The 23,861-nt window shown below is 37.5% G+C and overlaps 1 pseudogene; it reads right to left on the bottom strand.

The window, feature by feature from the left end:
• On the bottom strand, nucleotides 7,386–9,911 carry THAP12P3 (THAP domain containing 12 pseudogene 3; annotated as a pseudogene).

Below are 23,861 nucleotides of genomic sequence, written 5' to 3'. Positions count from 1 at the left end.
CTGGGTGACCCAGAGTCAACCCATTATCAGAAATGAAAAAGTCTGAAAAGATATCTCAAAAGGCCAAGCTGAGGTTCTACAACAGTGATGTCATTTACAGGAGTAATTGAGGAAGTTACACATCTTGTGGCCTCCAGAACAATGGCTGGTGACTGTTTACACCTATTTTTTAACAGAATTCAGGTCTTTTATTAGTTTTATAAAAGTGGCTTAATTTTGGGAAGGGCTATTATCATTTGAACCATAAATCACTCCCAAAGTTATCTTGGCCCACTCCCAGGAATGACCAAAGGCAGTTTGGAGGTTAAAGGCAAGATGAAATTGGTTAGCTCACTCTTTCACTGTCATAATTTTGCAAAGGCAGCTTCAACCAGTCATCGCTGAGTTCTACATTGGTCATGGATGCCAATTAAAATCCAGGACAGTGGAAAACCAGTAAAAATCTTTGCAGAGCCTCTGGGTTATTTAGATCACAACTGCAAAAAGAATCTTGAAACCTCAATATTAACATAATGCAAAAGAAAAAATAGACAATTCTTTTTGAGAAAGGGATTATGGAATAATATTGCCTTCAATTCTTATGAATTATAACTACAAAGCAGCATGACTTTTAATAATTTACATCAGCTATAAAATTATTTAATTTAACCAGAGAGCATGAGATAAATCTTGCAAAAAAAAAAAAAAACTGGTTTAAATGGTATTGGTAAATGTATATCTATAAGAATGTTGATTTGTAAATTGCAATATCAAGAAAAAACAATTTCTTTATGAAAATAAAATAAGCAAGGAAAAGGTATGGTCACCAAAACATCATGTAAAATGCAAATATACAAACATAGAGATAGACGGCTAAACAGACTTTCGATATACATATATTCATTATATAATATATATTTCATCTGCTTGTGAAATAGGAAAAATAGTCCTTTCTTTTTAGTATATTAGTATGGTTTGTTTACCTGTTGTTTATCTTATTTTTAGGAATTTGCAAAATAAAGATGGGTGGAGATACGTAAACTATTTAACAGACAAAAAACCTGACTCCGAAGAGATAAAATGTGGTATATAATGGGATAGAATCATAAAGCTGAGATAGCAGGCAGCCCTCAGGATTCCCTAACAAAACAGGCCCTAGAGTATAAAATTCTGGTGACAGAGCTCAAAAATAGTTGGCCTTTACAGGAAGGCATAAATGAAAGGAATATTTCAAGGGAGGGAAGGCCTCTAAATTGGAAACATTCAAAGGTAATTCAGCCAATGTTATCCTTTTTGTTTTTTTTTTTTTTTAACCAAGACTATTCTGGTCAAATTTCATAGTGCATTTATATAGACATTTGAAAAATCATTGGAAGTCTCTATTCATAAAAAAGCTCACAAATTTTACCATTTTAATATCAATGCCTTTATTGTGAAATGGCCCCACCCTCTAACAAACAACCTTTTATTACAAATATGTTCTTCATTCAAGCAACAGGCAAGACCCTTACAGACATGCCCTTTGGGTTTGGAAAGAGAAGAAACCAACAGATAGAGGAAAAACAATGAATAGACAATATCATTTTATCATAAGACAAAGCCCAAAGGTAATTTAAATATTTAAACAAATATGCAGGCATTCCCCACTTTTAGAAGCCAAGTATATTTTGGCAGAAGGGAATTTCCATATTGTTTAAAACATGTGACAGTTGTTATAATTCTCTTTTAATTAAGATTGCTAATGAACAATTTTTTTTCTTTTTTTTCTTCATTGGCATTATTCATACCCAAATAACCAGACATCTCTCATAGGTAAACAGATATATTTGTAATTGTTTTATAATTTTAATTTAATTTTTTATTTCTTAAGTTCAGATAAAACCTCATGAAGAAAAACTAGGTGAAATGCTAAATTTCAAACTCGGAATGTCCCTATTTCCACGTTATTGTCGTTTGAAAAGTCACATTTTCTTGAGAGGGATGGAAAGAATACTAAGTTAATGTTACTTTCTGAATATTCCCAGAAAAGAGACAAAGAAACAGAAGGGAGGAAAATGCAGATATTACTTGGTTAATGTAAGTATATTACAGGGAAAAGAATGTGCCTCAGTGGAAAACTACGTGTTTTTATGAGAGCTATTTTAGAACCTGTAAGTTGTAGAAAATATTCACATTAGTGAACAAATTTTATTTTTAACTTTTGTGAAATTTTCACATGTATTTACTTAATACTACTCATATTTTCAAGACCAAAATGCACTATTTCTACCTAGTCATCCAAACTCCAAAACTACCTGGACTAAACCTAAGATGCCACTAAAGGAAAAGGCTAAGTGATAATTGCTTGAGCCCAGGAATAATGCAATTCAGATTGAAAGAGATAGTGATACAGTCACTCAACTGTACTAACAATTTTTATCAGTCTAAGAAACGACATCATCTACCAAAACTCCTTTTGTATGGAAAAAGTTGGGTAATGTGGAAAGGGGCTCTATATTCAGTTCCACAAGAGTGGGCTCCTTATTTTTATTTTATTTGAAGTGAATTTACAGAGTGTTATGCCCACTCACACACAAATCCAAGTAGCAAAATATCTGAGAAATTCTCCCACCATTAATCTAAAATTATTATCCTACAGATTCTCTGAAAGCTATTTTTTAAACTTATTCATCTAGTAAACTGAATGTCAGACACAAACCCTTGCCAAAAAAATATAGTGACTGCTAACAGGTATAGTCAATGCTCAGCAAAGGTAAAGATAAAGACCATTTTGGAGTATGCTAAAGTACACTCTACCTAGGCTTGTCTGAGCACAGAACCTCACTTGAAGTACAAAATATTATAACATGAAGGGAAAATGGATTGCCTGTAGAAAATATGACTGTGAAGAGGGCTTTTGTTAACTCACTAAAAACAAGCATGGAATCAAAATGCATTAAGTATTATACAATTTGTGTAGCAAAATCAAATCATATGAAAACATGGGAGCAAAACATGTATTACACATAAGTCAAAATGTGGAATTCTTAGGGACCAGAACTAATTATGAATCAGACTTACTTGCTAATATTTTAATTTCCTGAAACGAGTATCACCATCCAATTTTTGCCATCACTGTATTAGATACTATGGAGGATTCAATCTTAAAATATTATTACACATTAGCTCATGAATTTCCTATAAGTTGTATGGCACATAAAAGTTCGTGATGTGGGCTGGTCATGGTGGTTCACGTCTGTAATCCCAACACTTTGGGAGGCCGAGGCAGGTGAATCACCTGAGGTCAGGAGTTCGAGACCAGCCTGGCCAATATGGTGAAACCTGTCTCTACTAAAAATACAAAAATTAGCCAGGTGTGGTGGTGTGCACCTGTAGTCCCAGCTACTCGGGAGGCTGAGACAGGAGAATTGCTTGAACCTAGGAGGCAGAGGCTGCAGTGAGCCGAGATATGGCCACTGCACTCCAGTCTGGGTGAGAGAGTGAGACCCAGTCTCAAAAAAAGAAATTAGTGATGTGCCAAGTAGTTAAGTTTTTGTGTACTATAATATGAGAATATAAAGCAGAAATTGCAAACCAAGCATTAAAAGACCAGGCAGGGGGGAAGTAGATTAACAATCATAATAAATACATATAATTTTATCTCTCAATTTTAAAAACAATAAAAAGAAATCTAAGCAAGAGAAAAAAAGCAGATTGGGTATGACGCTATATGTAGTGATGGAGTCGGTAGTTAAACAAAGACTCCACAACCTAAAGGGGATCAGAAGCTATTGATTTCAGCTAGTTTTTGCCATGTAGGGATGTAGAACTAGTGTTGTTTGACTAGATTTTTCAAAAGAAGTTTGCATCCCAAGTTTTATGTAAAATCTCCAAATTTTAATAACTGATTAGAAAAGCGATTTTGAACCTGTATAGGTGAACTCTGTCCAGATTTGGCCACGAGGCTACTAGTTTATAATCTCCGAGTAAGAAATCAGAGAGAGTCCAAACAAAGCACAAAAAAATAGTATGGTGGATAGATGGAGGAATTGAGTGAATTGAGAAATTCAGGGTCAGTATGACACTAACTTTTATTATATATAGGATCAAATTTTCAGAACTCAGAATCCTTTTCTGTATTGTTTCTCACTGTTTTTCCAGCAACTAGCCAGAGTGTCTGGAATTGATGCTTTATATATATTTAATTAACTAGTTAATCAATTAATTGGTAGTTTGGGTTAAATAATTTCTTCTTGCTCTTACAGACCTCAAAATAATTTGAGTGTTATAAAATGCCTTCTATGAGGAAATATTATAGAAATTAGTATTCATTTAAAATAAAGGAGGAAAGTCAAAGGGTGATTTGGATCATTAAATATTTTCTAAAAGATGATAGCAGGAGATGAGCTCATTTATATGTGTGTGTGTGTGTATGTGTGTGTGTGAGAGAGAGAGAGAGAGAGCGTCAAAATAGAGGAATGGAGCTTACATTGCGATTAGAATATTTGATTAGTAAGATAAAAGATTTTCTGGCTCGTAAGAGTAAGTCTGCTAACAAGACTGTTAAAGTTGGTGACCTTTAAAATAATATCAACAAACACCTTTTTTTTTTTTGGCATTTAGGCAGTGACCAAACCAATATGACCTTGTTGTTCTTTGGGAATCTATAGTGATTTTCAAACACTTCATTTCTAAATTATATAGCTCAAACAATATCCATTAAAAAGTCACAGAACTATGGTGGCTGCAGGGTGACAAAGGTATCAAGAGAGGAACCATGAAGGCACAGAGTTCAACAAAAGGGACCAAGGAGAAGAAGTGACCAGCAGATTAAGGGGATTGGCTACAGATGGGGATTGAACAAATAAACCACCATATAGAGAAACCAGCTTTCTTGCTGTCTGAAAAAGGGTTTATAAAATTGAAGGGGGAAAGCCTAGAAAGTATCCCGAGGTTTTGCCTTGGAAATGAAGGTATGCAGGTGAACTCATGATTTTTAAAATACATATGACATATAAATAGACAAGAATGTGTGCATTTATGTGTGTGTGTGTGCATGTGTACATATTTGCATTTAAAGATTGCTCTATCCACTAAGAAGGTTAAATGCCAGGACAACTCAGCAAAAATGAGTCCGCCTTTTGCCCAGATCTTGATTTCTAAATACCTTAGTGAAACGACTGGTCCCAAAGGTGAAGCAGGGAAAATACAAAATGAGCCAGGAATATCTTGTGCCAGAAATTTGTTAAATGTGCAAAGAATTAAATGTCAAAAGGATCCAGGAGTTAGCCTGGAGATTCCAGTGACCATATCTGAGACTATTTGAACATCAAAATAAATAATGATGGTAATATATTACCACACATTAAAAAATTGATTCAGGAGTTCATATTTATATAAATAAATTAAAAAACATATAGGAGAGAAAAATCTTTCTTATGGTAGAATGCCAAGTAATTAATGGAGAAGAAATGATAGAAATAGAAAATCACCATTTTACACCCATCATTGTTGTGGCTAATTCAGGCAGGTATCATCAATGGATGCTAAGGCTGGTGGGTAGATTTTGATGTGACACTAGACACTGCTGTAATTTCAGAGTATCTCCCTACAAAATACTTATAAATTATGAAGGAATTGAATGGTATATTTTTGGTGAAAAAACAAAGTTAACATCACTTATTAACCTTGACGTGTGAAGGTTGTAAAGTGTTAGCATTGTGTACCTCCTCATGTGATCCTCTAAGAAGAGCAGAAATTATTTCTGAGGTGTTCCTTCCAAGAAAGGACAGCTCAAGTCCAGTGATAAAGAAATATTCCATGGACCACACTGAAGACATCCTAAAGAATGAAAGACCTGTACTCTTTTAAAACTGTCAGGGTAATGAAAAACAGAGAAAGACAGACATGGTTTCAGATGGAATGTCACCAAAGGGCTGTGACAAGTGCATTGTGTATTCCTGAACTGAATCATGTGCCAAAGCAGAGAAGAAATATTGTAGGTAAAGTTGGCAAAACTTGAATGAGGCCTATACATTGGATAGTGGTATTGTACCAGTGTTGATTTCTTGTCCTATGATGGAGAGTGTCCTTGATTTGGTGAAATACACACTGAAATTTTAGATGTCCTGGGGCATCACATTTACAATTTGCTCTCAGAATTTTTGTAACTTTTAAGTATGAAGTTACTTAAATATAGATAAAAAAACTAGAAGGCACTTTTAATATACATAGTAAGGGAATAAGAGGATGGCATGAAGAGAAAAAAGTCTGCATTTGTACAAATTTAAATCTTTTCAAAGAAAAAGACAAATTTTTAAACAAAATTCACATTCTATTTAGATTGAAATAAATGATACAAAATTGACTTTCTTCACCAAAAATAACAGCAATATTTTCCATATTTTTCTAGATAAACCACAACACTTATTTTTGTAGGTTTTCCAGGTTTTGCTTATAAATGAAGACAAGTCATGGAAAAAGACAGAAAAAAACAGATAAATGAGTTGTCAGTATCCATGGCCTCTGATTCTGTCTTATCCATGAAACAGAAGTGTTCAACATATACCTGCTAAGAAGCTTAGGAAGCTGTAGGCTCCACAGAGGAATGTAAACAGAAACAACCAGATGTGGAACAATGGCAGACTTCAATTCAAACTTTAACTGTCATTTGTTCCCTTAAGTTCATTTGAGAAAGACAAAATCTACACTGAAATCCTTGTTTGGTGAGCTCACTAGCTTTTCTTTCTCTGGTAATTTCTTGTAACTGTCCAGTATAGATTTTTAACATACTTAAAACTCCTACTAGTCAAAGGTCAATTGTGGGCTTCACTATAACATTTTATAAAATGTATTCCTTCCTCCCATACCTCTTCAAAATATATTTCTTCAAAGAATTCATTCACACCCAATGAGTAGAGATCCACAGTGATAATAAATGCTATGTCTAAAATGACTTAACTAAAACAATTCCAGAGTGCCACCAGCAGAGAACATGCAGAAGGAAACATGGCACTTTCAATGTTCTCTTCTGGAAGAACAGATAGGTCCTCAAAACATGAGAGTTCAAACAGGGGCTATTTAAACAGGTAGATTATCAATGGCTAATGTATTCAATGGAGTCCTATAGGCAAAGATATTTAGTGATTAAGTGGCCTATATACACCTTATTGCTTTACTTCCAAATATCAAATATAAGAAAGCCTATTTTTTTGGGAGGCCAAGGCAGGCAGATCACGGGGTCAGGAGATCGAGACCATCCTGTCTCACACGGTGAAACCCCGTGTCCATTAAAAATACAAAAAATTAGCCAGGCATGGTGGCTGGTGCCTTTAGTCCCAGCTACTAGGGAGACTAAGGCAGGAGAATAGTGGGAACCTGGGAGGCAGAGCTTGCAGTGAGCCAAGATCGCGCCACTGCACTCCGTCTCAAAAAAAAAAAAAAAAAAAAGCCTGTTTTTAAAAGTCTCTTAGGTATTTTCCATGGTTTCCCAATTATCTGTGGGAAGCTCTGACTTACTTGTATAGAGTTTAATATATGTGTCCACCATTAAATCCAGGTCATGTTTTATATCAAAATTTATGTTAAGCAAAGCCAAGTTACTTGATCTTTGGTCTGTCAAAGTGTACTTCAAATATGCTTTAAGATGCTTTCATCCATTTTCATACCACTCATTCTCAACCTTCATCACAGGAAGAATACACAGGACCTTCAGCAAATGCATACACATTAGGAAAAAACTTGATGTCAGGCAGATGGAGGGCTTCACAGATGGTGGATGGAAGCTCTGTATCTTTCCCCCTGCGTTTCCATTTGATTCTCCAACAATGAAGCTCGGCTGAGAGCATGTTGGGATTAGGTAAGCCACTTCTACAACATGTCAGCATGATGTTCCTCCTAGGTATTAAATTTGAGTTGTCCCATGACTGCGGGTACCAGAGATAAGCATTTAAGAGCTCTGAGGTGCTGTTCTGAGAATATATCTTTAAGTTCCTGAATAATGTGCTCCGCTGTTGGGACACTTAGGGTTTCTTTATAGTAACTCTCAGAGGTTAGCTGAGATTCCAAGTTACCCTGGTGAGCACTGCGGAATTTCCCAGGGAGTTTCATTTGAAGGTCAAGTTTGGTTGCCAAATTTGTGGCTTCCTCAAACCAAAATTCATGATAAACTTCAATATTTTCCATCACTTCGTTGAGTGAATGCAGTACTGCAGTCAAGCTACCGGCTGCAAAGAAGACATCAGATTTGACCCTGGAGATTTTTCCCAAAGGCTCTTGTAAAAGGACATTTTTAAGAACAACAGTAGTAACAATGAAATCAAAATCTGTTACTGCACTGCAGAGTACAAAGGCGCGGCCAGCTATACAGTTATTCCATCTAATATTTGTGTCACTGTACTCTCTAAACATAAAACAAGTGCTTGCTGGAATTCAAAAGCATCATGCCTGCCTGTTCACTGAGAATGGCAGATTTCCTTCAGTTCTTTACCCCTTTCTTTACTGTTCTGAAAAAGGACAGAAATTACATTGTCAAGTTCTAAAAGCAGTTGTGGCGATCGATAGAAAAAAGAACAAACTTCCTCAATTGTTCCTAATGCAACAGATACTCCCGTAACAGGTACTGATTTTGCCAACCACATGTTTATGGCACAGGAAGAGTAGAGCATGTAAATAGCTTGGGGATATTTCTCTAAAAGTCTAGAAGCAACAACTTTCATTTTTGAAGAGAATCCACTAGACACAATGTAAGCCTGGCCACGACAATACTCCATATTTAATCCCCACTTCTCAGTGATCACAGTGTGAAATTTCACAGCCAAAATTTCTGCATCAGCTTCATAAGGCAGGAAGCCTACAAATTCCTCTCTCAGGTTATGAGATTCATCAACAAACCTCACCAACACAGGTAGGTGCTCTTCCCCTGCTATGTCCACTACATTGTCAGTGATAATGGAAAAGAAGTGTGAGTCTCTCACTTCCCTGAGAGTTTATTCTCGAATACAGCTCTCACAGATCTCTAGCACCTGTTTTTGCTGTGTTTTTGAACAAAACAACGTGTTAACTGCTGTTGTCTCAAACTGCTTTCTGAGAACCTCCTCACCAGAATTTATCCGGGCCGACACTCCAGCAGTGCTTGAAAGTTATCTGGAGTAAAGAGATCTTCTGGGATTTCATCAGCCTCATATCCATCCAGAGGTATGTTTTGCTTTCCCATCAGAATCAAGATTTCAAATGGAGATTTTAGTTATTCTTTGTTTTCCTTCTCTTCAAGGGTTAGAGGTAAGATGTCCTCATCTTGTCCTTCACCCCCTTCTTCACTGGGGTTCTGAGCATTGCTATTGTTGGTTTCTTTATGTTTTTGTTCCTGTTCAGAAGTTTCATCAACTTTTTTTCTGTTTCAGTGTCCTGATTTCGTCTTCACTCAGTTCTTTTATTCGTTTTCTGTGTCTACTCTGTGTGTTGTTCAAATGACTGGTAAGATCAAATATTGTTGGTATTGCATTATCTCGAAGAACTGTCCTGTAAGGACTCTCCCAATGACTTCACGAGTATCTGCTTCAATTAGTTTTGAGAAATAAAATAAACCAATTGTTTAGTTTTCTGATGCCTCTGCAAAATGTATAGTTCTACAGATCATAGAGGTCTCAAAATGTGTGGCACATAATTGATAATGTTTATTTAGCTGATCAGGTGTTTTATCTTCTAAATCTGCTCTCCTACAATTGTCCACCCACTTCTGGCATCTGGCCGGGTCCCGCGGGAACTTGAAGAAGGCCAGGTCGGACTGCGTGCTCTTCCGCGTGCAGTTAAGGGCAGCGCAGAAGTTCCGCATCCTTGCCCGCCGCCGGCCGGCTCAGCCCCCTCCTCTCCTCCTCTGGGCAGTCCGCCCGCCCATGGGGCCAGGGAGGGGAGCCAGGCCGGCTGGCCAGCTCGGCAGGACTGGCGCGCGGGGGCGATAAATTCTTATAGTTTGACTTTCCATTTTTAGTTTTAATTATGTTATGCCACTTATAAAATAAAATATTCTGACTGCTCATTCCCAAAATATCTCAATTAAGTGCAAGGCAGAAACATTGGGTTAACTTCAATGTTTGTGAAAGTTTTCCCCAGAAAATTAAAATCTCCCATAGATATAGAATGCCCAGTCAGGACCACCTAAATACAGCTCTCAAAGACAAAACTGTAGGCACAAATATTTCTAAAGTAAATGATAAACACATGGATCTACCAAGGATATTTTCCTGATGCTGTAACTTTAAGCTTCTTCATGTGTTGAGAAAGTATCTTTTTAAAATAACTCTGGAACTGTGGAACATTGAAAATGAGTGTGTTTCTGTGCAGCATTTGTGGAATGCTGGCCACCAAAGAGACATTTACAGCAATTGCAAATTTGCTTTTAAATGGATCCCCCATGACCCCAAAATATTTTTATCCCTTGCTAGTTATCTATTTTCTCTCTTAAATAATCCTGCCTTTTTATAACACTTTACTCCTGTTGCAAATATTTTCACCAAATGCACAGTTAACTTCAAATCCATTTTAAAAGGCAAAGAGAAGATACCAGTAACTCTTACTTTGAACCTATATATGCTTTTGTCCTATTTATGTTCAGTTTGTCAGACTTTCCCCAAAACTGATAGTTATTCTATTTAATTCAATTTAGCCAAATATCATGGGCTATAAAGTCAAGATTATACCAGAAGGGGCAATTGCCATAATTTAAGGTTTTGAGGCCACTAATGTCATGCTATTTTTATGAATAACTAGACAAGACACAAAAGAACATCATTGTCACTGTTTCAGATATCATCTCATGAAACTGGTTTATTGGCCAGAATAATCCCAGGAATTTCTCAATGAAACTCAATTATGAACAATGAGACATGTCAATGAGGCATTGACAGGAAATGAAACATTCCACGTATGCAAATATCTGACTAAAAGCTTTTCTCATTTAAGCTGAATTTTAAGAAATTCAAGGATTTTATTCCTAAATTGTACTTACTGTCATTTATTTATATAATTTAGAATAATCGTTTTGAGCATTAGTGTGATGGACACTGCAGATGTATCCATTAAAATGTATTTACTCCATCTGTTAGTGAAGACTTCAGGTTTGGGAGGTTGTACCTCCTAATCCCACCTTCCTTGGCATTTGAAATTGGAGGGGATGTGTCTAAGGTACTATGTATTGTACTTTGCTATGACCACATTTATTGTTTCACAAGTGGGCTTCTCTATTCCATTTAGGCCCATGAGACTGCAAAAGGTATTTGCTAGGGACATCTAATTAAAAAAAAAAATCTAAGTCTTTATGCAAATGGTTGATGATGTCCCATAAACTTAGCAGCCATGGTTTAACCACAAGAGTCACCAGATGAAACTGCCTTAGTACAGTGCCTGTTACAAAACTAGAATACAGAACAGAACAAACATAACGAGCCTGTGATGCCATCATAGAGTTGCTAAATTAAAAAATCCAGGAAGTTTCCCTTTTGGATTTCCAACTTGCATCAGGCAACATTATTTGAGCTGGGTTGTCTGTCACTTGTAACTAAATGCATACTACCAAGACAATATTTATTCTATTATGTCAGTGATGCCTGCAGGGCTAATAACAGTATTTGCCATATTACATAAAGTTACTCAGGACTTTCTATGTTTTCTAACTCATGTGTTTAATTTGTATAGTGTATCTCTCTTCTCCTGTTGTTAGCTATTACTCTATGGACTAAGAAATTAATTGCTAAAAGAAAAGAATCGTCAGCCAGTTTCCTTTGATCTGCTGTGAACCTGGAGGAGGGGCATGTGCCAAAGGCCTCAGCTCCCTCCTTACTTTCTTAGGAAGGACTTTCCAGACCTACATCAAAGTCAAATCCCCTTGTTAAGTATCTTTACTGAGCTACTACACAACAAGCTCTCTTCTAAGCATTTACCTGTATTAATCTATGTAATCCTCACATAATCTATTTAATCCTCACATAAACCTTATTTTACAGACCATATCATTCCCGTTTTAGGCCATTTGTACTGCTTTAACATAAAACTTGAGAATGGGTAATTCATTAAAAACCAGGAATTTATTTTTCACAGTTTGGAAGGTGGGAAGTCCAAGATCAAGGTGCCGGCATTTGGTCTAGTGAGGGCCTTCTTCCTACATCCTTCATGCTTTCGCAGAAGGGCAAGCTAACTAAATGCTGCAGGAAGCATCTTTTCTAAGGGCCTTAATCTCATTAACCAGGAGGAAGCTCGCATGGCCTATTCACTTATTAAAGACCGACCTCTTAATACGATCACATTGGCAACACCTGGATTTTGGAGGGAAACTATTCAAACTGTAGCACAAATGAAGAAAATGAGGCACAAAAGGGCTGGTAGGTAGTATAAAGTCACAAAACAAAGAAGAACTGGGAGTGTGATTTAAATAAAGGCAATTAAAAGCCCTGCCCCCTTAACTTTTATGCTACATGACCATTTAGTTTTTTTTTTTTTTTTTTTGAGATGGAGTCTCACTGTGTTGCCAGGCTGGAGTGCAGTGGCGCAGTCTTGGCTCACTGCAACCTCCGCCTCCCGGGTTCAAGTGATTCTCCTGCCTCAGCCTCCTGAGTAGCTGGGACTACAGGCACCCGCTACCATGCCTGGCTAATTTTTTGTATTTTTAGTAGACATGGGGTTTCACCATGTTGGCCAGGATGGTCTCGATCTCTTGACCTCTTGATCCACCCTCCTTGACCTCCCAAAGTGCTGTGATTACAGGTGTGACTCACCGTGCCCAGCCCCACTTAGTTTTTTCAGAACACTTGCCTCACATGTTTTTTAAACATTTCCTAACACAATAATTCAATTAACATTCTACCTTCCCACTAGACTACTGGTTCCATACAAGCAGAGATTATATTCAGATTAGTTCATCACTGTCTCCTCAACCCTTAGCACAATGCTCACATCTTTATAAGCACTCAATAAGTGTTTGATAAAAGAGAGAAGAAAAGAAGGAAATACACAAGGTATGCACAGAGGAAAAGGAATGAAAGATGGAAATTAAGACCTAAGCAAGAACCCAAAAGGAAGCTATAGATAAGTTATAATTGAGGGCTGTTTTAGCTGCACGGAGGCCTTTTCTGCTTCCTTCTAAGTAGCCAAATTTACCAGATAAATGAGCTGTTACTGTACTTCATGTCCAATAATAACATTTCTTCTAGCAATTAACTGAGAGTATGTCCAACACTTCATGTAATGAGGAAAGCTAAAAAGAAAACACACATTAAGAATATAAATAGGCCGGCGCAGTGGCTCATGCCTGCAATCCCAGCACTTTGGGAGGTTGAGGTGGGCAGATTGCTTGAGCCCAGGAGTTCAAGACCAGCCTGGGTGACATGGTGAAACCCCACCTCTACAAAAAAATTAAAAAACTAGCCAGGTGTGGCGGTGCGTGCCTGTAGTCCCAGCAACCCAGGAGGCTGAGGTGCGAGGGTCTCTTGGACCTGGAAAGGTCAAGGCTTCAGTGAGCTGTGATTGTGCCACTGCACTCCAGCCTGGGCAACAGAGTGAGATCCTTAGAACTGGCCACATATTCAGGATTTAAAGATTTAGAATAGTGAATAAAATTACCAACCCTACAGAAATACAAAAACCCTCATAAACCATTATGAACACTTTTATGCACACAAACTAGAAAACCTGGAAGAAATTGATAAATTCCTGGAAATATACAACCTCCAAAGATTGAACCAGGAAGAAATAGAAACCCTGAACAGACCAATAGTGAGTTCCAAAATTGAATCAGTAATAAAAAGCCTACCAACCAGAAAAAATCCCCGGACCAGACAGTTTCACAGCTAAATTCTACCAGATGTATAAAGAAGAGCTAGTACCAATCCTACTGAAACTACTCCAAAAAATTGAGAAGCAGGGATTCCTTCCTCTCTCATTCTGTGAAGCCCGCATCATTATGATAGCAAAATCTGGCAGACACACACACACACATACACACATGCACGCAAACTTCAGGCCAATATCCTTGCTGCACATAGATGCAAAAATCCTCAACAAAATACTAACAAACTAAACCTAACAACACATCAAAAAGCTAATCCACCACAATCAGGTATACTTTATTCCTGGGATGCAAGGTTGGTTCAACATATGCAAATCAATAAATGTGATTAATCACATAAACAGAACAAAAAGCAAAAACCACACGATCATCTTAATAGACACAGAAAAGGCTTTTGATAAAATTTAACGTCCAGTCCGTGCTAAAAACCATCAACAAACTAGGTGTCAAAGATACGTACCTCAAAATAAAAAGAGGCATCTGTGACAAATCCACAGCCAATATCATACCAAACAGGCAAAAGCTGGAAGCATTCCCCTAGAGAACAAGAACAATACAAGGATGCCCACTCTCACTGCTTTTATTCAACATAGTACTGGAAATCCTAATCAGAGCAATCAGGCAAGGGAAAGAAATAAAAGCATACAAGTAGGAAAGAGGGGAAGTCAAACTATCTCTCTCCACAGATACTATGACTCTATACCTACAAAACCCCAGTTACTCCTCAAAGGCTCCTAGATCTGATAAATAACATCAGCAAAGTTTCAGGATACAAAATCAAAGTACAAAAATCAATAGCATGTCTATACGTCAACGTGAGAGCCAATTCAAGAATGCAATCCCATTCACAATAACCACAAAAAGAATAAAATACCTAGTGATACATTTAATCAGGGAGGTGAAAGATCTCTACAATGAGAATTACAAAACACTGATTAAAGAAATCAGAGATGAAACAAACAAAACATTCCATGCTCATAGATAGGAAGAATCAGTATTGTTACAATGGCCATACTGCTGAAAGCAATTTTCAGATTCAATGTTATTCCTGTGAAAACAGCAATGACGATTTTTGAAGAATAAGAAAAAACTATTCTAAAATTCATATAGAACCAAAAAAGGAGCTCAAATAGCCAAAGCAGTACTAAGCAGGAAGAACAAAACCAGAGGTATCACATTGCCCAACTTCAAACTATACTACAAGGCTACAGTAACCAAAACAACATTGTACTGGTACAAAAACAGACAGATAGACCAATGAAACAGGTTAGAGAACCCGTAAATAAAGCTGCACAACTACAGCCATCAGATCTTCAACAAAGTTGATAAAACCAAGCAATGGGGAAAGGACTCCCTGCTCAAAAAATGGTGCTTGAATAACTGGCTAGCCACATGCAGAAGACTGAAACTGGACTCCTTGCTTATACCATCTGCAAAAATCAACTCAAGGTGGATTTAAAGACTTAAATATAAAACCTAAAACTATAAAAGCCCTAGAGGTAAACCTAGGAAATACCTTTGTGGACACAGATCCTGGCAAAGATTTCATGATGAAAACTCCAAAAGCAGTTGCAACAAAAACAGAAATTGACAGATAGGACCTAATTAAATTAAATAGATTCTGTACAGCAAAAATAACTATCAGCAGAGTAAACAGACAGCCTACAGAATGGGAGAAAATATTCGTAAACTGCATTTCACAAAAGTCAAATATCCAGAAACTGTAAGGAATTTAAACAAATTAACAAGCAAAAAAACAAACAACCTCATTAAAAATGAGCAAAGGACATGAAGAGACATTTCTCTAAAGAAGACATTCATGTGGCCAACAAGCATATGAAAAAATGTTCAACTTACACCTTATACAAAAATCAATTCAAGATGGATTAAAGACTTAAACGTTAGACCTAAAACCATAAAAACCCTAGAAGAAAACCTAGGCATTACCATTCAGGACACAGTCATGGGCAAGGACTTCATGTCTAAAACACCAAAAGCAATGGCAACAAAAGCCAAAATTGACAAATGGAATCTAATTAAAGAGCTTCTGCACAGCAAAATAAACTACCATCAGAGTGAACTGGCAACCCACAAAATGAAAATTTTCACAACCTACCCATCTGACAAAGGGCTAATATCCAGAATCTACAATGAACTCAAACAAATTTACAAGGAAAAACAAACAACCCCATCAAAAAGTGGGCCAAGGACATGAACAGACACTTCTCAAAAGAAGACATTTATGCAGCCAAAAAACACATGAAAAAATGCTCACCATCACTGGCCATCAGAGAAATGCAAATCAAAACCACAATGAGATACCATCTCACACCAGTTAGAATGGCAATCATTAAAAAGTCAGGAAACAACAGGTGCTGGAGAGGATGTGGAGAAATAGGAACACTTTTACACTGTTGGTGGGACCGTAAACTAGTTCAACCATCGTGGAAGTCAGTGTGGCGATTCCTCAGGGATCTAGAACTAGAAATACCATTTGACCCAGCCATCCCATTACTGGGTATGTACCCAAAGGATTATAAATCATGCTGCTATAAAGACACATGCACACGTATGTTTATTGCGGCACTATTCACAATAGCAAAGACTTGGAACCAACCCAAATGTCCAACAATGATAGACTGGATTAAGAAAATGTGGCACATATACACCATGGAATACTATGCAGCCATAAAAAATGATGAGTTCGTGTCCTTTGTAGGGACAAGGATGAAGTTGGAAATCATCATTCTCAGTAAACTATCGCAAGAACAAAAAACCAAACACAGCATATTCTCACTCATAGGTGGGAATTGAACAATGAGAACACATGGACACAGGAAGGGGAACATCACACTCTGGGGACTGTTGTGGGGTGCGGAGAGGGGGGAGGGATAGCATTGGGAGATATACCTAATGCTAGATGACAAGTTAGTGGGTGCAGTGCACAAGCATGTCACATGTATACATATGTAACTAACCTGCACGTTGTGCACATGTACCCTAAAACTTAAAGTATAATAATAATAATAAAAAAGAAAGAGAAATGCAAATCAAAACCAGATGAGATACCATCTTGCATCAGTCAGAATGGCTAGTATTAAAAAGTCAAAGAATAACAGATGCTGATGGGGTTGCAGAGAAAAGATACTGCTTACACATTGGTAGTAGGAATGTAAATTACTTCAGCCACTGTGGAAAGCAGTTTGGATATTTCTCAAAGAACGTAGAACTAACATTCAACCCAGCAATCCCATTATTGGGTATATAGCCAAAGGAATATAAATCGTTCACCATAAAGACACATGAACTCATATGTTCATTGCAGCACTATTCACAATGGTAAAGACATGGAATCAACCTATCAACCTAGATGCCCATTGGTGGTGGACTGGATAAAGAAAATGTGGTACATATATACCATGGAACACTATGCAGCCATAAGAAAGAATGAAATTATGTCCTTTGCAGCAATGTGGATAGTGTTGGAGGCCATTATCCTAAGTGAATTAATGTAGGTAAGAACAGAAAAGCAAATGCAACATATTCTCAGCTATATGAAAGGGAGCTAAACATTGAGTATACATGGATACAAAGAAGGAAACAATAGACACTGGGGCCTACTTGAAGATGGAGGGTAGTAGGAGGGTGAGAACCGAAAAACTATCTATCCAGTACTATTCTCAGTACCTGAGTGATGAAATAATGTGTACACCAAACCCCTGCAACATGCAATTTACCCTGTAACAAACCTGCACATACATCCCTTGAACCTAAAATAAAAGTTGGAAAGAAAAAAAGACAGAGAGAATAAAAATCTCCCAGGAGACCTGAAAGAAGCTATGACTGACTAAAGCAATGGATAAGGATATAGTCTGCCTCAGTTAACTATTGCTGCGTAACAAATTATCCCAAAATTTAGCATCTTAAGAGAGCATGCATTTATTATCTCACAGTTTATGTGAGTTAGGTATAAGTTAGTTGGATCCTTTAGCTCAGCACCTTTCACAAGGCTGCAATTAGGTTTTTAGTGCAGGTTCACAGTCATCTCAAGGTTAAATTGGGGCAGGATCTCCTTCTAAGATCATTTAGTGGTTGTCGATAAGATTCACTTCCTTGTGTGCTGTTGAACAGAGGCCACCTTCAGTTTCTTGAAATATGAGGCTCTTCATCATGGCAGCTTGCTTCATCAAATCTAGTAAAAGATAGCATCTGCTAGCAAGGAAAAAGTCATGATATTTTATAACTTAATATGGAAAGGACATCTTCTCACTTTTGCCATATTCTGTTCATTAGGTGCAAGTCACTAGGTTCAGCCCACAATCAATAGGAGAGGATTACTCAAGGTCATGAATACCAGGAGGTAGGGATCATTTTAAAAGTTTGCATAATATGTGGTTCTTTCTATAGCTAAAAAAACTACATATAAATCACATAATGTATACTTTATAATTATGTATTTTTATTCTTAAGCCAAGGACAATGTAAGTGTAAACTAACAATATGTACTCATGTATATCATCATATAAACCCTTATTATTAAAGTCCATTTACTTTCAATGGTCCAAATCACAGTGGTCCAAATCACAGATTAAAACAGTAAAAATGTTAAGTTCAAATAAAATGTATGTATGTGGCCGCATATTTGCCATTTTTTAACTGTGGAATATGAAATAAAATTCTAAGTTCCTGTCACGCAACTGTGCCTTCTAAATTGTACTTAATAAATAAACATTAAAAGCAAGGAATATAATTCAGACACTAGGTAAGGAGGAAGTACATGCAAACTGATAGAAAATAAAAATGCAGTTCAACTAAATGATGAATATAACAAACCCAATTTCCAGGCCTGAAAATTTGAGAAAAAATTTCCAGTAAATCATTGGAGGGATTCACTCATCACCTCCCCTCCTCTGCCCACCTCTCACTAGCTTTCTGTGAGGAGAGGAGATGGTGTCCCAAACCAAAATCTGTGTGTCTCTGGGTAACTTCCTCGAGATATAGCCAGATCAGAAAGGTATTATGAATATTTCTGGGAACATTACTGGGCCATTATGCATAAGCATTAAATTGAATATTCAAGAGGCACCACATTATTTTTTCAAAAAGAGCCTAGTCCCTTTTACCAATACCGGGAATGAGTTTATTTTCATGTGGTTTTAATTGGCCTGAGGTTTGACACAGCTTTACTTTGTCAGTAAGGACTGTTTTATTTTAAAATACAACAGAATAATTGAATGTCAATTTAAAAGGTAGAGAAAGCCAACAGACTACCTAACCTGATGCACAGTTTTTTGCCTCAGCTGAAATCTGCTTGGCTTATGTTCCAGGTCACTGGATGGGGAGTAGGGGAGGGCACCATGATGTGCATTATGGTTATCTGAAAGCCACCCAACAATGTATACATTTTCTTGCCTCCCCTTTGGCTTTGTAGACCAAGGAAAGTAAGTGGGAAAAGGTTGAGAGGCCATTTTTAAAACATAAGAGAAACAGAATAGGAAAAAAGCCACAGAAAACACCTAGACTGAGACTTAAGGCAAAGAAAGAAATCTGGGCTCCAGGATTTCCAAAAAGAAAGACAAGAGAAGACAAAAAGACTGCTGGGTACAATTGGCATATATCAGGATATCCAGTCACTTGTATCTTTTTGCAAACTGAAATTCTGAAACTGGTAGGGAATATTTGTTAGGATTTCAGCACAGAACAAAACTTAAACATTAATTCTATGTGAAGTCTGTGTGGAATTGACTTCAGGTGCATGAAGGAGAGATCGAGGAAATAGTCTTAAAATCAGTCCAACAGAGTTGAGATAAGGAAGGGAGTAGTATAATAATTATGCTTCCAGATCATCATCATATTTCCATCAAAATGACTTAAATGCTTATATTTTATAATCATATAGTCTTTTAAAAACCCTCCAAATCATTTATAATCCAATGATTGAGAATTGTCTATGGTCCCAGCATTTTTAGATATCTTAGAATTAGAGGGGAGGGGGGCACCTAATGGATGGGGTGTGTGTGTGTGTGTGTGTGTGTGTGTGTGTGTATAGAGGCAGGAGGTGACAGGTGGCTTTGGAGGCCATGGAGTACAGCTATGGATTCAATACAAGAATCATTTCTATACTCTATCTGGCCCATGAGTACAGTGAATCCAGTTTAAGATCTTCAAGGACAGAAAATGCACTACTTTAGAGAGCCTGTCTGCTTCCTTTTCAAGAAATATAATTGACAAAATGTATTTCCTTATTGCAAAAGGTGATCATACACATTGGGTCATTCTTGTTATAACAAACTGAAACAGAGTCAAAAGGCTGGGGGAGAAAGCACTCAGGGCACAATAACAGTGATCCAAGAATGTAATTCTCTGTGGGCCTGGCTGCTGAAACTGCCTGCTGTAACCTGAAACCAGTTTTATCTAATAGCTTCTGAAACAACATCCTGCAATTCTAAGAATAGTTTTACTCACGTCTGTCACTTACCAATCTAAACTTGTCATTTTTCCCAAAACCTTACCAGTGCTAATGGACTTTCTCAAAGAGCAATACATAATATTTCTATTTATTTATTTATTTATTGAGACAGTCTCGCTCCATAGCCCAGGCTCAAGTGCAGTGGTACAATCTTGGCTCACTGCAACCTCTGCCTCCTGGCTTCGAGAGATTCTCCTGCCTCAGCCTCCCAAGTAGCTGGGATTACAGGCACACACCACCACGCCCAGCTAATTTTTGTATTTTTGGTAGAGACGGGGTTTCGCCATGTTGGCCAGGCTGGTCTCGAACTCCTGACCTCAGGTGATCCGCCTGCCTCAGCCTCTCAAAGTGCTGGGATTACAGGTGTGAGCCACTGTGCCGGGCCTCATTTCTCTCTCTCTCTCTCTCTTTTTTTTTTAAATAAAACCGCTAACCTTCTCTTTGATCTTTGGACATGCCAAAGACCATCCAGTCTGCACGTATGCCCTGAATTGCAATTCTTTCTTCCCCAACAAAATGTTTTAATTTCAGAGATTCATCTGCATTTTATTTGACTTTGACACTTACTACGAAGTTGAAATTTTCACTCTATAATGTCCGCCATTAATATCTCAGAATGAAACTAAATTATGCCTTTGGAGACACACATGTACACCCACATGCAAACACGCATGCACAAGACAATACATAGAACAAGAGAATGATTATACTTTTCCCTAAATATATTTCCCAAATTAACTATTTCTCAAATTTCAAATAGAAATATTTTACTATCCATATAGCTATATCCTGGATATGGACCAGTTTAATCTTCACACTATTCAGCTCAGAAAAGAAAATATTATTCCAAATCTTGGTTGATTAGTACAGAAGAGAGTACAACTGTATAAGGCTGTTTTCACGCTGCTGATAAAGACATACATACCTGAGACTGGGTAATTTATAAAGAAAAAGAGGTTTAATGGACTCCCAGTTCCACGTGGCTAGGGAGACCTCACAATCATAGCAAAAGGTGAAAGACACATCTTACATGGCAGTAGACAAGAGAGAATGAGAGCCAAGTGAAAGAGGAAACCCGTTATAAAATCATCAGCTCTTGTGAGACTTATTCACTACCTTGAAAACAGTATGAGGGAAAGCGCCCCCATAGTTCAATTATCTCCCACTGGGTCCCTCCCACAATACGTGGGAATTATGGGAGCTACAATTCAAGATGAGATTTGGGTGAGGACACAGCCAAACCATATCAACAACTCTTTCTTAACTTGTTCTGGTCTTTCTAGTTTTTTGAATGCAACAGAGAATACATTCGAGTAGATTCAAATAGGCCCCAAGTAAGCTTGTCTGGCAGGAGGGAGAACTGAGGAATAAAGACATAACTCCATGTTAAAATTGAGTATAAGATAGAATTGAAAGCCACTTATATAGCCTAAGAAAATGAGACACGTCTACAAAATAATCAGAGACTTCTGACTTCCCCGGCAAGGACAGCTACCTTCTTTCAGATACACCTTTGTTTTGATACCACTAACGATAATACTTAACCAGGTGAATGAGTATGGGAAAGAAAAAAAAAAAAAACTGACTTTTTAAAGGATTTTATTCACAAAGCATTTATTAGTTTCTAGGATCTCAGTTCTTTCCAGACATACCTATGGAACAGAAAGGCCAGCATTGAGTTCCTAAAGATCCTCAAAAGGGGCATTCAGCAAGGAGGTAGGATGGGGAAGAAAGACCTGCGCATGGACAGATGAAAAAAAACAACAGGTCCTGGCCTGGGGCAAAATTTTCCAAAGACAATGGAGATAAAGGCCTGTGAGTTTTTTGAGTTCTGGGGACCTGTCTACATTCTTCCTGATAGCTGCATCCAGGAACAATCATAATATCCCAGTATGAGCTGTTTGATATAGACAACTTAGGGTATTATTTTATTTCATTTTATTTTATTTTTTTATTTTATTTTATTTATTTCAGACGGAGTCTCACCCTGTTTCCCAGGCTGGAGTGCAGTGGCATGATCTCTGCTCACTGCAACCGCCGCCTCCTAGGTTCAGGCAATTCTCCTTCCTCAGCCTCCAGAGTAACTGGGATTACAGGCACGCACCAGCACTCCCGACTAATTTTTGTATTTTTAGTAGAGACGGGGTTTCGCCATGTTTGCCAGGCTGGTCTCACACTCCTGACCTCAGGTGATCCATTCGCCTTGGCCCCCCAAAGTGCTGGGATTACAGGCGTGAGCCACCGCGCCCAGCCCACTTAGGGCAATTTTATCTATTAAAGTCTTTGGGCACCATACGCCCTGAGGCTATGACAGAACCTCAGTGAGCGTGATGGTGCCATGCCTTGTGTGCAGCAAGACCAGAAATTCCATGACTTCCAGTCAGGAAAAATCTCCTATGCTCCACTTCCACCCCCAGAGAAACACAGCTACTGCCTTCAAGGGATTAGCCAGCTTGGGCAATGAGCATTTTATCACTGACCACTCTGGGCAAAGATAGAAGCGCCTCCCTGAATACTCTGAATTACCTAAGAACTCCAGGCTTTCATACAACCTTGGAGGATGAGGAGATGAGGATCCCCAATAATGGTGATGGTTTAAATGGCTGCCTACTTTCTAGGAAGGGGTATGGAAACAAAGTAAATTTTACTTAGTGAAATAAAGGATGTGACATTCCTTACACCCCATATTACATAGTAAAATTCAAATTGGATACATATTTTTAGAGGCAAGAATGAAGAAACTGAAGTTGGAGAAAGTTGAGTAGCTTACCCAAGGTCATTAGGTTGTTAAAGCCAGGACTATAACCCAGCTCCGGATTCCTGACACAGTATTCTCCATCATTTATAACTATATTTGTTCTTAATTTTAACATGAGATTTTTCAAACCATTTTTAACATGTAAGTGCTTGATATTGAGGCTCAGAGAGTAGGGCTTGCTAGTGAGTGGTAAATCATTCAATACTTACTGGATTAAAGGTTTACTTGATAGAAAATTGTATTGTGGCAAAGAAGGCAGATATATTCAAAAAGACCTAAATAGATTTTAATTTCTAAAACAAGTATTTATGAACAGGAATTTTTCGTACGTTATTTTATATTAGGGACTGGTTGGAACAAAAAGATAAATCAGTGTGTATCCTCAAAATGTGTTTAAAATATGTGCCTGTGACAGAACAAAACAGAGAGTGAATAGTGCACGAAGACTATCAGTTATGGATCTTTAAAATTCCGTTCTGACACTGATATACTAGGTTAAACCAAGTGTGTCTCCAAGATAAAGATGCATTTATTTCCAAAGTTATTTAATCACACAACTTTTCACAAAATATTCAATACGACTAGTAAAGACATATAAACTCTTGTCACAACTCTCTTACATCAATTATGTAAAATAATTTTAGCACCCCAAAAGTGAGAGTATCTTCCTAAAGTAAAATAATTATCAATAAAATAGTGACAGGGTGAAATTTCTTTAACTTTGAGACAGTCTATGATAATTCGACATGGTGAAGTTTTTATGGTCTGAGAAGCCTTTTCTTTAAAGTGAGAAGTTTCAGTAGTTGAGCTCGCAACTACAAACTTAAATAAAATGACTC

This window comes from Homo sapiens, chromosome 10 (genome assembly GCF_000001405.40).
Source record: "Homo sapiens chromosome 10, GRCh38.p14 Primary Assembly".
In the NCBI taxonomy this organism is placed as follows: domain Eukaryota; kingdom Metazoa; phylum Chordata; class Mammalia; order Primates; family Hominidae; genus Homo; species Homo sapiens.
This window is presented reverse-complemented; position numbering and strand designations above follow the sequence as displayed.